This window comes from Homo sapiens, chromosome 7, assembly GCF_000001405.40.
Source record: "Homo sapiens chromosome 7, GRCh38.p14 Primary Assembly".
Classification (NCBI taxonomy): domain Eukaryota; kingdom Metazoa; phylum Chordata; class Mammalia; order Primates; family Hominidae; genus Homo; species Homo sapiens.
The window spans coordinates 27,091,261-27,104,348 of record NC_000007.14 but is presented as its reverse complement, the minus strand read 5'-3'; the positions used below and the strand labels follow the sequence as shown (position 1 = coordinate 27,104,348).

General features: G+C 49.5%; 2 protein-coding genes and 1 long non-coding RNA gene across 5 annotated transcripts, besides 8 other annotated features; 2 read left to right on the top strand and 1 right to left on the bottom strand.

The window, feature by feature from the left end:
- Positions 992–1,831: an enhancer, noted in NCBI's record as "H3K4me1 hESC enhancer chr7:27142137-27142976 (GRCh37/hg19 assembly coordinates)". NCBI's record gives its function as "activates a minimal SCP1, AML or CMV promoter by ChIP-STARR-seq in naive H9 embryonic stem cells {active_cell/tissue: H9 hESC(naive)}" and the evidence as "EXISTENCE:reporter gene assay evidence [ECO:0000049][PMID:30033119]".
- HOXA2 (homeobox A2) lies at positions 1,666–3,995 on the top strand. Its single transcript, NM_006735.4, has 2 exons — positions 1,666–2,239; positions 2,884–3,995. Exons 1-2 carry the CDS (start codon positions 1,849–1,851, stop codon positions 3,621–3,623), a joined length of 1,131 nt encoding a protein of 376 aa, NP_006726.1. The 5' UTR covers positions 1,666–1,848; the 3' UTR covers positions 3,624–3,995.
- Positions 4,091–8,255, bottom strand: HOTAIRM1 (HOXA transcript antisense RNA, myeloid-specific 1). 2 transcript variants are annotated; one of them, NR_038366.1, is made up of 3 exons: positions 7,961–8,255; positions 4,983–5,251; positions 4,091–4,570 (listed from the first exon to the last, which is right to left on the bottom strand). It is a non-coding gene; the product is annotated as an HOXA transcript antisense RNA, myeloid-specific 1 (long non-coding RNA). The 2 variants fall into 2 exon arrangements; NR_038367.1 differs by lacking the exon at positions 4,983–5,251.
- Positions 7,387–7,959: an enhancer, noted in NCBI's record as "NANOG-H3K27ac-H3K4me1 hESC enhancer chr7:27136009-27136581 (GRCh37/hg19 assembly coordinates)". NCBI's record gives its function as "activates a minimal SCP1, AML or CMV promoter by ChIP-STARR-seq in naive H9 embryonic stem cells {active_cell/tissue: H9 hESC(naive)}" and the evidence as "EXISTENCE:reporter gene assay evidence [ECO:0000049][PMID:30033119]".
- Positions 7,387–8,032: a biological region, named in NCBI's record as "NANOG-H3K27ac-H3K4me1 hESC enhancer GRCh37_chr7:27136009-27136581".
- Positions 7,863–8,032: a silencer, noted in NCBI's record as "silent region_18041". NCBI's record gives its function as "represses an Ori minimal core promoter by ATAC-STARR-seq in GM12878 lymphoblastoid cells {active_cell/tissue: GM12878}" and the evidence as "EXISTENCE:reporter gene assay evidence [ECO:0000049][PMID:35858748]".
- Positions 8,085–8,379: an enhancer, noted in NCBI's record as "tiled region #2148; HepG2 Activating DNase matched - State 4:PromP, and K562 Activating non-DNase unmatched - State 20:ReprD". NCBI's record gives its function as "activates a minimal TATA promoter and a strong SV40 promoter by Sharpr-MPRA in HepG2 and K562 cells {active_cell/tissue: HepG2 | K562}" and the evidence as "EXISTENCE:reporter gene assay evidence [ECO:0000049][PMID:27701403]".
- Positions 8,349–11,356, top strand: HOXA1 (homeobox A1). 2 transcript variants are annotated; one of them, NM_153620.3, is made up of 3 exons: positions 8,349–8,790; positions 8,994–9,088; positions 9,554–11,356. In NM_153620.3, the coding sequence occupies exons 1-2, from the start codon at positions 8,437–8,439 to the stop codon at positions 9,051–9,053; spliced, it is 414 nt and encodes a 137-aa protein (NP_705873.3). In that variant the 5' UTR covers positions 8,349–8,436; the 3' UTR covers positions 9,054–9,088; positions 9,554–11,356. The 2 variants fall into 2 exon arrangements, with proteins under 2 accessions (NP_705873.3, NP_005513.2); NM_005522.5 differs by having other exon boundaries at positions 8,349–9,088.
- Positions 9,261–9,761: an enhancer, noted in NCBI's record as "H3K4me1 hESC enhancer chr7:27134207-27134707 (GRCh37/hg19 assembly coordinates)". NCBI's record gives its function as "activates a minimal SCP1, AML or CMV promoter by ChIP-STARR-seq in naive H9 embryonic stem cells {active_cell/tissue: H9 hESC(naive)}" and the evidence as "EXISTENCE:reporter gene assay evidence [ECO:0000049][PMID:30033119]".
- Positions 9,762–10,262: an enhancer, noted in NCBI's record as "H3K4me1 hESC enhancer chr7:27133706-27134206 (GRCh37/hg19 assembly coordinates)". NCBI's record gives its function as "activates a minimal SCP1, AML or CMV promoter by ChIP-STARR-seq in primed H9 embryonic stem cells {active_cell/tissue: H9 hESC(primed)}" and the evidence as "EXISTENCE:reporter gene assay evidence [ECO:0000049][PMID:30033119]".
- Positions 11,851–12,761: an enhancer, noted in NCBI's record as "OCT4-NANOG hESC enhancer chr7:27131207-27132117 (GRCh37/hg19 assembly coordinates)". NCBI's record gives its function as "activates a minimal SCP1, AML or CMV promoter by ChIP-STARR-seq in naive H9 embryonic stem cells {active_cell/tissue: H9 hESC(naive)}" and the evidence as "EXISTENCE:reporter gene assay evidence [ECO:0000049][PMID:30033119]".

Sequence of the window (13,088 nt, the reverse complement as noted above, 5' to 3'; positions counted from 1 at the left end):
CAAAAGCGAATCACCATCCTCAGGGTTTGGGGGGGAAAGAGGTACCTCCAGATCTACCTCTCAGCCTCCTCACCTCTTTCTGGCTTGGTGGATTTTTTAAAAATTATTTTTTGGTACCTAAAGGTGTTATCTTTTGAACCCTCTAGCACTGTCCAAGATGCGCTCAGTCTCAAGTCTCCGAATTGGAAAAAAGATAATGAAGGAGAACGAAAACCTTTATAATTCCTCCTTGGGTCGCCTCCTCTCCCCCGCAGTGCTGTTTCCCACAACAGAACCCGGAAGCAAACATCCCCGGTGCCCAAGGATCAGGAAGGTGTGGGAGGCAGTTCAGGCTGCCAGGGAGCACTCGCTGTATCTAAACCAACCAGCCCCCAACCAGAGCGACAAGGACAAGAAGAAGGGTAGAAAAAAAAGAGAGAGGGAGGGAAAGAGAGGAGCAAGCATCTTCTCTTTCCCTGCTGGTAACTTCCAACAGACTTCCTGGAAATCGGAAATACTCACCGCACCCGAGCCCTACGGGTATGAAACCCAGAATGCCAGGAGCCGCACGCGCCTGCTCGGGGCGGCATTTCTTTGGCTGGCCGCCGCCCTGGCTACGGGGATTTGGACACATGGACCTGGGGTTGTTGTCTCGCTTGGCACATGCATCTTTCTCCAGCCACTCCTGAGAAGTTGATGGCGCAGGAAGGTCGGGAAGCTTCGAGAGCCGCCTCCCGTTTTCCGCTTCCCGCCGGAGCCAGATGCAAAGCTGCCGTGGAATAGCCTGCTAACAATGGGCCCGGGGCGCAGACTCTGGGCTGGACACTGGGAGGGGGGCGAGAGGCTGAGGGGAGAAGGGGAGGCGGACAGAAGAGAGAGGGAGGGAGAAAGGGGGAGAAGAGGAAAAAGAGGGAAAGGGACAGACAGGAAGGAAAACAGACCGAGAGAGATCAGTTTTGAGATCCAGGAACTGCTTTTAGGAAAAGTGAAGGAGGAAAAGGGAAAGAAAAGGAAGACCCCTTCCCAACCAAAATCTTTCCTTTCTTCTCTCTTTTCTGTCTTCTCTTTCTCCATCTCTCAAACTCTCTCTTCTTCCCTCTCTCTTTATTCTCCCTCTCTCATCTCCTCTCTTCCTCTGCTCCTTTCTCCTGCTTTAACAGAACTTATGTGGCTGGGACGCAGGGCCCTCGGGTGTCAAAACTTTGAAGATTAATGGATTACTTTGTTAATGACTGCAGGCGTCAGACTGAGGTGCTTAAATGATTTGTGAGGTGCGAGGCGTCTTCCCGACAGTCCCAAACAATGCGCGGAGTGTGCGGGGGAGGCAGAGGGCAGCCACCGGCGGGACCGACAGCAGGGCTTACACTCGCGCACATTCACACACACACACACACACTCCCAGGCACACACACTAGATAGATCCTTGCAGATCAGGAGGCACGCAGGCACCCTCGCCCCCACGTACTCCGGGACATCCCCACCCACACCAACATATATGTATTTTTGCTCTGAAAAAAGTGTAAATAAAGCCTCGCTGGCCCCCAATGAGGCGTTCCTTCCCGACTTTTTTGGATCAATCAAACAGACAGTGGCTTCTTTTGATTAAAGCCCAAATTGTCATTGGGCAGAAGCAATCATGTGACAGCCAATTCGGTCCAATTTCAACCTTGTCTCCATGAATTCAATAGTTTAATAGTAGCGCGGTCCCCATACGGCTGTAATCAGTGAATTAGAAAAAAAACACCCTAGCAGCGATATTCTATGATAGATTTTTTTTCCTCTGCGCTCGCCTTTTTCCTAGGCCTTGCCCCCCCAAAGCCCCTCCAAAAGAGGGAACTTTTTCTCTGAGGGGGCTCCAAGGAGAAGGCCATGAATTACGAATTTGAGCGAGAGATTGGTTTTATCAATAGCCAGCCGTCGCTCGCTGAGTGCCTGACATCTTTTCCCCCTGTCGCTGATACATTTCAAAGTTCATCAATCAAGACCTCGACGCTTTCACACTCGACACTGATTCCTCCTCCTTTTGAGCAGACCATTCCCAGCCTGAACCCCGGCAGTCACCCTCGCCACGGCGCTGGCGGCCGCCCCAAGCCGAGCCCCGCGGGCAGCCGCGGCAGCCCGGTGCCCGCCGGCGCCCTGCAGCCGCCCGAGTACCCCTGGATGAAGGAGAAGAAGGCGGCCAAGAAAACCGCACTTCTGCCGGCCGCCGCCGCCGCCGCCACCGCCGCAGCCACCGGCCCTGCTTGCCTCAGCCACAAAGGTCAGTCCAAAGACTTGGCCCCAGGTCTCTGGGACCCTCTTCCTTCTCCGGGCTGCCCCGAGAGTGGCTGTGGGGGGAGGGGAGAGTGGGCTGGGAGAGAAGGAGGAGAGGGAGAGATGCTTGGTTGCCTTGTCCCTGCCCCTGTGGGTTCAGGAGTGGGTTTGATGGAGAGGAAAGGGGATCCTGCGCTCTACAATGAGACATATATATTTTTAGGAAGTGGGGGGAAACTTTCCCGAACTTGTGTAATGTGGGATGATTTATTTGAGTTGGAACTGACCTCCTCCTGTCTAGTTGTCCTAGAGTTTGGCTTTTTGACAGTAATGAAGAGTGATAGATCGCTCTTGCTCAGCTAAGCAGCTGACGCATTAATTATAAATTGTGTTGTGGCTAATATAAAGTTTGCTCCCGGATGAAGAGGTTGGGGGGAGCCACAGGCATGAATTCGATAGAGATGGAGGAGACGGGGTCTGCCCAGGCTGGGCTCCCAGGAAAGGCAGCACAATAGCTCTACTGCATCCAGGGGCGGCCATTTTGTTGCAGTTGATCTTTTCTGCTATATTTATTCTCCAGTGGAATAACCCCGCTCGGACCCCTCCACCTCCAACTGTGCGTGTGTCTCTTGTTGGTTTCCCTTTCCGCAGAATCCCTGGAAATCGCCGATGGCAGCGGCGGGGGATCGCGGCGCCTGAGAACTGCTTACACCAACACACAGCTTCTAGAGCTGGAAAAAGAATTTCATTTCAACAAGTACCTTTGCAGACCCCGAAGGGTGGAGATTGCAGCGCTGCTGGATTTGACTGAGAGACAAGTGAAAGTGTGGTTTCAGAACCGGAGGATGAAGCACAAGAGGCAGACCCAGTGCAAGGAAAACCAAAACAGCGAAGGGAAATGTAAAAGCCTTGAGGACTCCGAGAAAGTAGAGGAGGACGAGGAAGAGAAGACGCTCTTTGAGCAAGCCCTTAGCGTCTCTGGGGCCCTTCTGGAGAGGGAAGGCTACACTTTTCAGCAAAATGCCCTCTCTCAGCAGCAGGCTCCCAATGGACACAATGGCGACTCCCAAAGTTTCCCAGTCTCGCCTTTAACCAGCAATGAGAAAAATCTGAAACATTTTCAGCACCAGTCACCCACTGTTCCCAACTGCTTGTCAACAATGGGCCAGAACTGTGGAGCTGGCCTAAACAATGACAGTCCTGAGGCCCTTGAGGTCCCCTCTTTGCAGGACTTTAGCGTTTTCTCCACAGATTCCTGCCTGCAGCTTTCAGATGCAGTTTCACCCAGTTTGCCAGGTTCCCTCGACAGTCCCGTAGATATTTCAGCTGACAGCTTAGACTTTTTTACAGACACACTCACCACAATCGACTTGCAGCATCTGAATTACTAAAAACATTAAAGCAAAACAAAGCATCACCAAACAAAAACTCCTTTGACCAGGTGGTTTTGCCTTCTTTTATTTGGGAGTTTATTTTTTATTTTCTTCTTGACCTACCCCTTCCCTCCTTTAAGTGTTGAGGATTTTCTGTTTAGTGATTCCCTGACCCAGTTTCAAACAGAGCCATCTTTTACAGATTATTTTGGAGTTTTAGTTGTTTTAAACCTAACTCAACAACCCTTTATGTGATTCCTGAGAGCAGTATGAGGCCTGCAAGAAAGTGATCATATAATTGTATCTTCACTTTCTTTTTATTTTTGTATTACATTGGGATGCATTGTCATGCATATTTTTTGTAGAATAAATTCTCCTTTGCTATAAGTAGCTTATTTTTCTCCCCCTCTTTTTTCAAGGCTCATAACGGGTTCTTTTTCTTCTTTTAGTCTAACTTCGTAAATAAAATTCGTCACAATTTATCCTCTTTTTTCAATTTTAATACATTTATTAAGGCGGCATGTTCAAAGTCTTCAATGGACAGCAACAAAACAGAAAGCCAAAAAATGACTAGGGCTTCTAATAAGTGTTTTTTCTTTCTTTTTTGCTTCTTCTTCTCCTCTTTCTTTTTAAAGGATTTGATTTTCAGTGCACAGGTTCAAGCCATAGATTTAAATTGGTAATAGAGGCAGAATTGGACAGTCTAAGATTTGGGCCAAGCCCAAGCTCTTGAAAGTGGAGAAATAAAGTGCCTACAGAAACCCCCAACTCCAGGAATGAGTAACACGGAGTTTCTTTAATAAGCTACCAGTCTCCAGGTCAATAACTAAGTTATCAACAATTCATTTGTTTATACACTTTTGTTTCAAACACCCACATTTCAACCCCCTCCCCCATAAATCCCTCCACATTTTCAGTGTGGTTGATTAATCTCCCAGCTGTTGATGGGTTCAGGCAAAACAGACCTAAAAGATAGAGAAAAACAAAAATAAAACAAAACAGTGATTACTATCTGGAAAATGCACCCTAGAAAATGTTCTTTCCAATCCTCTGGTTCAGTCACTCTAGGATTTTTTTTTTTTTTTCAGGGTCAGAAAAATCAATATTTCATTCTTAAACCTGTTTACATTGCTAATAATAGATCGTTAATGCTTCGAAGTCAGGTTAGCAAGTTGAGATTTAAAATGGTGTGTTTCTACACCCTAGGTTATAAATTAACGCAGGTTCTAGAGAGAGAGAAAAGCACTTTAAATGAAATATCAATAAAATGTGATCTAGGGTGTGTCACTGGGTTGTTGCTTTTCCCCCCTCCCTTGTTAGGTCTCCCCATGTTTATTTTTCCCTTTCTGAGCTCTCTTCTGATGCCTACTTACTTACCGTGAGAAAACGCAGCATGTAAGCAACATGTGTGTGGGGCGGGTTGATTTAAGAACCTGGCTCTTAACAGCAAAGGCTTGGAAGTTCCAATGACAACGCGATGTTTCTTCATAGGTTTGCTCCCTACCTTCCCTCGCCCCTTCCTCCGCTAAATCTCAGCTGCGGCGGCGGAGTGTGGGGACTATGGCTGGTTTCTGGCCCCAAGCTCAGCGCGGAGCAGGGCGTCCCGGCAGCGGCCAGGGCTGCGCAGCTCCTGGATGCGATTCGTCCTACGCTCATAAATCAAACGCTTTCTATGAATGAGAATGTCATCAAAGAGATCAATTGCAGGAACACATGCACAAATAAAAATCCTCTTACGTTATTTGCCGGGGATCCCCGTCCGAAAGCATTAAGTTAGAAGGCGTTTAGTCATAATTCATTTTTATTGCTCTTTTAAAACAACAGCTTGGCTGAGCCGCGGATGCCATGAACAGTTCAGGGCCTCGGCGTCATTTTATCTCCTCCTTATTCCTTTCCTTTCTAGCATAAGAGCCCTGAAAGAGGCGTTTTGAGCCAAGAGAACCGCTTGTAGGCGATCATTTTAAGCGTAACCAAGCTCGCCTTTCACCCAGTCTCCCAAGGCGTTGAAAGAGACCAGCTCCAGTCTTGGGGCGCTGACCTACTTGCCTAGAGGGCCAAGGATCTCCTACTCGGTGGAACGGCCCCCAGAATTTCTTGGGGGAGGGGTGTGGGGAAAGAACTGAGCTACAGAAGCCTAAGGGCTAGAGGCCAGGGGAGGCTGCCTTTGTGTGCTGTTCCCGGGGAGCGGCGCTCTGGGCTGCCAGGCGAGGCATAGCCAGCCCGGCTGCGAGCACCCGGCCTGCGGGGAGCCGGGAACAGTAAGCGGAGAAGGGCGGCCGCCGGGCCTGTGTGTCTGCGGGCCTGTGTGCGAGTGCAAGCTCGTGATCCCAAGAAAAACACTCCACCCAGGATGCCCCAGAAAAGAGGCCAGGAGAGAAGAAGAGAGGCTGAGGGAGAGCAGGGCCGAGGCAGCGAACTAGCAGAGAGAGTGGCTCCTGCCGGGGTCGGCTTTGTGGCAGGCGCCCTGCAGCCGAGGGGGTCCTGCAAACCCAGGCTGAGGAGGGCAACCAAGGTACAGGAATGAGGCAGCGGGGGAAAATGTACCGACTTGCTCAGGCTTGGAGGGAGGATTGCTCGCATAGCCAGCACCGACCTACTCACATCCTGCCCCCTCTCCCACAGGAGCTCCTTCTCTCCCCGCCGCTGGAAGCTGGTGCTCCCAAGGAAGCCGCCTCCAGGAGGACTGCCTTGCCTTTCCCCTTCTCCAGTCGGAGGATTCCCAGGAGCCGAAACTGGGGCAGGGGTGGCTGCCCAACCCCAGAAAGTGGGCCTTTCCTGCCCGTGCTCCCTCTTAACCATGCTTGGGATGGATCAAAGTCACAAATACTATTCTGAAAGGAAATGTTTGGGGAGAATGTTTCATTGTTACTGAGGGAGTCCAGAGTCAGCATGGGTTTTTTCTCTTGAGAGGACAGGTTTGGGGGAACTTCGGTACGTGGAGAACAGAATACAGAAGACTGAAAGGGTGACTAACATATTTGAAATGTACCTTCCTTGAAAAAAAAAAAACCTTCCTTGTTCTAACGGGAGGAAAGGCTGAAGAGGAGTGGAAACCCCAAACCCACATACATTCATTCACTATAAATTTCATCTGATTCCAACATTGTACACATGGTTGGAGTAAAATTTATACAGCATTGCTTATAATTTATACAGCAAAGCTTCCTGGACAAGCTCTCGATTTCTCCTACCCAAGACTGCATCAATTCTTGGTCTCCGTTTGGCTTTTTCTCTCTACAAGCCCAGGGTTGACGTGAAACCTAATAGTAAACAACAATTTAACGACCTCAGCAGCCTCAGGGAAGTAGGGTGATGAGGAACAGGACCCCTGGCCTGGGATGAGGCTCAGATTTGCATGTGTCTCTCTAGGGAAGGACTTGAAGGTTCTCATAAGCAACTACACAGCCAGTTGGAAAGGGGAGGAGGTGTCGTTGGGGTAAAGTGTCCCGTCCACCATCAGCCATTTGTCCACCGCCCCTCCCACCTGCCAGCCCCCACACCCACTCTAGACGTGCAGCAGAATGAGGAAGGTTATAAAAGGAAGCTCTCTCTCTCTTCTAACATTCCCCTCCAGAAAAAGAGGAACGCAACGAAGGGAGTTCAGCTACTATGTTGGAGCTGTGGACCGGCCCTGTGAGGCCCACGCGGGAGCGCGGAGGCTCCTGGGTCTCAGGGCGCCGGCAGATGGCCTGCAGCGCACCGCCCGGCCCCCGCGCTGGCCACGTCCGCCAGCGTCATCTCTCTCCCCCGCCTCCTACCCCTAAAAATCCGGCGGTCGAGTAGCTCCGCATCCCGGAGGGCTCCCGGTGCAAAACTGAGTGGGAAAGAGAAAGGGGCGGAGAGCGACGAGAGAGGGAAGGTGGGGAAGAAGAGCCCGGCCGCCCCCGGCCTTTTCCGGCGAGCTCTGAGTTTCCAGGGCTCATCCGCCCCTCCAAGTCGAATTACAGAAACTCCTCATTGCCATGCTAATGACGAGAGGGGCTGTGGGGAGAGGGTTTCGAAGACCCTCCTGGAAGAAGGGAAGTTTCTTTTCTTGCCCTCGTCTCCTTCACGCCCACCCGAGTTCCTCCCAGCCAGCCCTCTGCGCTCTTCCCCCTCCATTCCGAGCTTGAAGAGCCGGTGGCCCAGCCTCGCCCTCCACCACGGTTCTATGCGCTCCTCACAGCCCCACGGTCTCCCAGCCCAGCCTCAGAACAGAGGAGGTGGCCTGGGAACCCGGGGCGCGGTGTCAGCCGGATTCCCCGCCTTCCGGCTGGGCGCGCTGCGGGCTGGGCCGGCGTACTTGCGGCCACCCGGCGAGCTCTGGCCCACTGATTCCCGCCCCGAGAGAGCCGGGAGCCCTCTTCCCTTCTCACCTCTCGCCAGTTCATCTTTCATTGAACGGTGGGGAGGGGGCGGGAGCGGGGGACGCCTCCCAGCCCCCACCTCCCGGAGGCCTGGCGGGGCGGGCAGCGGAGTCGGGCGCGCGCAGAACGCAGCTTTTGCTCTTCTTCGCTCCAGCACTCCAAATCGGCCTTTGCAGTCGCCGCAGCAGCTGCCGCCGCCTAGGCTGCCTGGGGGGGCGACTGCGCGTCACCTAGACGGCGGAGCGCCGGGGATTTAAATGCCACTAAAACGGTGATCCATCACTGCGGAAGCCGGCAAACTTTTGCAGGAGGCTCAGCCATTGGCTGACACCGTCACGTGCCCCTCCTCCAGCGTCCTCCGCCCTCCCGCCCCCCCTCTTGCGCACTGTACATTCATATCATTTTTCTTCTCCGGCCCCATGGAGGAAGTGAGAAAGTTGGCACAGTCACGCCGGGCTTCGCAGGACCAGGTCACTCAGTGACAGATGGACAATGCAAGAATGAACTCCTTCCTGGAATACCCCATACTTAGCAGTGGCGACTCGGGGACCTGCTCAGCCCGAGCCTACCCCTCGGACCATAGGATTACAACTTTCCAGTCGTGCGCGGTCAGCGCCAACAGTTGCGGCGGCGACGACCGCTTCCTAGTGGGCAGGGGGGTGCAGATCGGTTCGCCCCACCACCACCACCACCACCACCATCGCCACCCCCAGCCGGCTACCTACCAGACTTCCGGGAACCTGGGGGTGTCCTACTCCCACTCAAGTTGTGGTCCAAGCTATGGCTCACAGAACTTCAGTGCGCCTTACAGCCCCTACGCGTTAAATCAGGAAGCAGACGTAAGTGGTGGGTACCCCCAGTGCGCTCCCGCTGTTTACTCTGGAAATCTCTCATCTCCCATGGTCCAGCATCACCACCACCACCAGGGTTATGCTGGGGGCGCGGTGGGCTCGCCTCAATACATTCACCACTCATATGGACAGGAGCACCAGAGCCTGGCCCTGGCTACGTATAATAACTCCTTGTCCCCTCTCCACGCCAGCCACCAAGAAGCCTGTCGCTCCCCCGCATCGGAGACATCTTCTCCAGCGCAGACTTTTGACTGGATGAAAGTCAAAAGAAACCCTCCCAAAACAGGTCAGTCCTGCTGGTTGGTGGATGCTCCTTGATTATTCTGGAAGGAGCTGGTATGCTTAATTTCCAAGGAAATTAATAATGATCTTTTTTTTAAAAGGCTTTTGTATCAGACTAGTGTTGTAGTGCATGGAGAGGGTGCCCAGAGGTGTTGGGGCAAAGAAGTCTCAGGGATTGGTGTGTTTTCAAGGATTTTATACATTTGGGAAATAGGAAGTATGTGGGGGTGGTTATTGTGACGGTAGTGTTCTGTTAATATCTTGAGGCTCCATTAATCACCGGTCTGACCATGCTAATGGTTTACATCAGGTTAACACTTTACACCTCATCACTCACCCTCCACAGCCCGATTTGTGCTGAGTTCTTGATCTTTTCTTTACCTGAGTGTTGCCATGAAGCGTGTGGGGAATCTCAAGTCGATTTAAAAATTTTTACATTTCCGTCTCATGGCTTCCCACTTTGCCCCAGGGAAAGTTGGAGAGTACGGCTACCTGGGTCAACCCAACGCGGTGCGCACCAACTTCACTACCAAGCAGCTCACGGAACTGGAGAAGGAGTTCCACTTCAACAAGTACCTGACGCGCGCCCGCAGGGTGGAGATCGCTGCATCCCTGCAGCTCAACGAGACCCAAGTGAAGATCTGGTTCCAGAACCGCCGAATGAAGCAAAAGAAACGTGAGAAGGAGGGTCTCTTGCCCATCTCTCCGGCCACCCCGCCAGGAAACGACGAGAAGGCCGAGGAATCCTCAGAGAAGTCCAGCTCTTCGCCCTGCGTTCCTTCCCCGGGGTCTTCTACCTCAGACACTCTGACTACCTCCCACTGAGGCGGCTCCAGCCCCAGACAACAGCCCAGGCATCTCCTTGGGCTGGGACTTCTTACCCAAAGCACATGCTTAGCTTATCTTTCTTTCCATTTACAGTCTCTTTCTTCCTTTCTAATCCTATCTGGGGAGCTCCTGGCCAGGATAATATATTTGCAGATAATTCTGGACCAGAGACTTGGTGCGGGGTTAACACCTTCATCCAGATTGGGTGCCAGCATACATTTTCTGGTGGGCCTTAACATCCCTCCTGCTTTTAGGAGAATTCACAGAACCTACTGTTCCTTTCAGATGACCTTTTGGAAAATAGTTCCCTTTGCCAACAGAAACATGCCAGAAGGAATCTTCTCATCTTTTATCTAACTATATGTACAGCTCTCCCCTCCCTTGTCCTTGAAAGTAGGATATAGCGAAAGGCGAGTCCAGGAGCTCAGGAAGAAGAGATGCACTATATGTTTACACAATTAATTCATCCCTTAATTTAAGTCATTTTCATGTGTGTGAGTTTGCTGGTTGTAAATACTTTGTCCTAAGAGATTTATCTTTATACAGATTTTCTAGAAATGTTTAGGTTACTAAAACAGGGTGGGCAAACTCTCTAAACTGGTACAATTTTATAGGTGAAAGAAAAAATTCCCTCATTTAAACCCAATCAGATGCCTCAGAGGGTAGCCTTGATTTGTTCTTACAGTTAAGAAGCCCTGCAGAGCACAAACTTCAGAAACCCGGCTTCCTGTGCTAAGTCTTTCCCAATCTCTACCCCTTTCTTCTCGGGCCACCCTCTGTTTAAAATTTGTGCTGGGTTATTCAGAACCTAAAAGTATTATTCAAACCAATTTCTTCCTTCCACAGTTATCTTAGCTGGATATAATGTATTTTCAGCTCAATTGTTAATGTGATGGATGGCACAATGAATGTATATTTTGTGTTATTCGTGAATAGTCTTTTGCATGTCGCACAATGTTTGATGTCCCCAAAGTACCACACTGAGTTCTATCAGTTATCCTTTGTGAGCCTATGATATTCCCCATTTCCTGTACAATCATGAACAGCTCTGAGATCCTGGAGTGATATGATCCAGAGCAGAGTTTACGGGTCTTAGGATGTCTGTAATAAATAAATATACTCAAGTTTCAGGTATGCTTAAGCATCCGTGTATTTGGCTGGGCTACAATTTGTTAATTCCTATGAAGTTGGCACATTTCATGAGGGGAAAGGGAGAAGGGTGGTAAATATTTTCAAAGAGATGGGCCTTTTCTTGAATAAAAGTTAATAACAGCTCCTTTATTATAATCAAAGCTCATAATGGAAAAAAAGACTGATGAAGAAATTTATGAAGCAGATTTATTTTTGAAACAAACATGGATACTTCCTGGGTCAAGTGCTAACCTTTTCACCTCCAACTGGATGTTGACGTATATATAAACAGAACTCCCTTCAAAAGCCAAAACTGTCTTCAGTCAGTCTTTCCTCACATCAGTGAACCAAGAGCTAAGAGATTCACATTTAATTAGCTCCAGTATAAAGTTGTTGTGAGGATGGGGCCCTTATTCCACTCCTCTTCCTTCTTTTTGGATTGTCAGGCAGAGTTCTGATATATTCCACCCTTGAAATGGAGTGTTTTTAGTAAACCCTTGCATCCCTTCCCCCATTCTTCCTGTCAACATCCATCCCTTCCTGCGGCTCTTCACCCCTTCTTCCCCATCTCTGGGTTGCACATCTTATTCCCTTCAGACTCAGCTTTGATTTCATAGCCGTCATGGCTGTAAAGGATCCACAGTTCTAATTCCATGCCACATAACCCAGAAAAAAAAAGTCATTTTCTTCTCTGGGCTCCACAGGTACTTCCAGGTGAACTTGTGGAAGCTACCCTGAAGTCTTTCAATATCCAAGTTGTTTCTGACCAAGGTATGTATCTGCTCTCAAAAGAGGAAGCCAGCAAATGATAGAGTTCAAAGTGGCTCTCCTCCCAGGCCTCTTTATTGCTTTCCTTTACTTTCACACATTTTTGGAGGCATTTTATTTAGCCCAACAGTACAGCAGAAAATTTACAGCATTGAAAACAAACACAGACAGATGACTTCCTTCCTCCCCAAAGGGTGTTTTACAAAGGACGGGCTGGAGGAGAAAAACCCTACAAAAATTTGGAATTTGCAGGCCGTCTAGGGCACTTGTGAGAATTCCTGCACTTCCCTGTCAAAGAAGAGAAGGCTGAACTTTGCGGTGCAGTTGCTGCGGCCATATCAAGGGCACCGGGTGCCCTCCCCTCAGCTGCTGGGTTCTGAGGTTGCCTGTAAAAGACTCAAGTGGATGGAGAAGAACTTCAAAGACGGTCAACCCTTTCTTTCATTTCCTGCCTGGCCTTATACTGTATCTTTTGTTTATTAGTGTAGGGCCACACAGCAAAACAGATGGCTGGCTTCCAAATACTTTAATGTGTTAAAGTGTCATTTGCATGCCATTGACTCCATTTCAATATCTAAAAGCAGGGCGAGATCCACTGGAATCCCAGAGATTCCAGTCTTTAAGATGCTGGTTTTAATGTAGCAGCAAGAGAGAACAATAAATTATGGCTAACCATCTCTAGCTTTCTCTAGGTCATGGAATAAATCAGTTAACAAGCAATGCATTTAGGAAACATTAATACACCTTTCAACAAGGAAAACATTTGTATCTTTTTAGCTGTCTCAATCGATTAAATCAAAGGCGCTTAACACATCCTATTTCAAGGTCTCTCTGCTTTGGTCTCTAAGGAGCACAGTTAGCTACTTGAAAAATGACAGCAATGGTAACTGAAACAACACAGAGTGGGAAAACTGAAAATAACATTTTATTGATACATTTACAAAGGAAACAAGGGTCTCAGTTAGGCACCTGGGATAACTGCGATACAAAATTCTAGTTTTCCAATGTTTTTTTCCTCACTTCCTCTACATTTATCCACAGTACTCCCCAAATACAGAGTGTTCCCAAACTAGGCTGAGTTGAGGTCTTGCTTTGGCTCTGAAGTCTGCTCTGGGTTTCACCTTTTAAAGTTTACTTTTGGAGGCTATTCAAATGCGGTGGTGTTTTCCTCTGGGGCAATCAGATTCAAACCGATCAATATTTACTCAGTCTGAAAGGGTTGTTGAAAAGGCTGCTAACAACAAACTGCTTAGCTGCTCACCCCTGTTTAATCTCAG

Coding starts and splice junctions, on each gene's coding strand:
- HOXA2 (NM_006735.4), top strand. CDS start 1,849: ATGAATTACGAATTTGAGCGAGAGATTGGTTTTATCAATAGCCAGCCG. Junction 2,240..2,883: donor TGCTTGCCTCAGCCACAAAG/GTCAGTCCAAAG, acceptor CCCTTTCCGCAG/AATCCCTGGAAATCGCCGAT.
- HOXA1 (NM_005522.5), top strand. CDS start 8,437: ATGGACAATGCAAGAATGAACTCCTTCCTGGAATACCCCATACTTAGC. Junction 9,089..9,553: donor AAGAAACCCTCCCAAAACAG/GTCAGTCCTGCT, acceptor ACTTTGCCCCAG/GGAAAGTTGGAGAGTACGGC.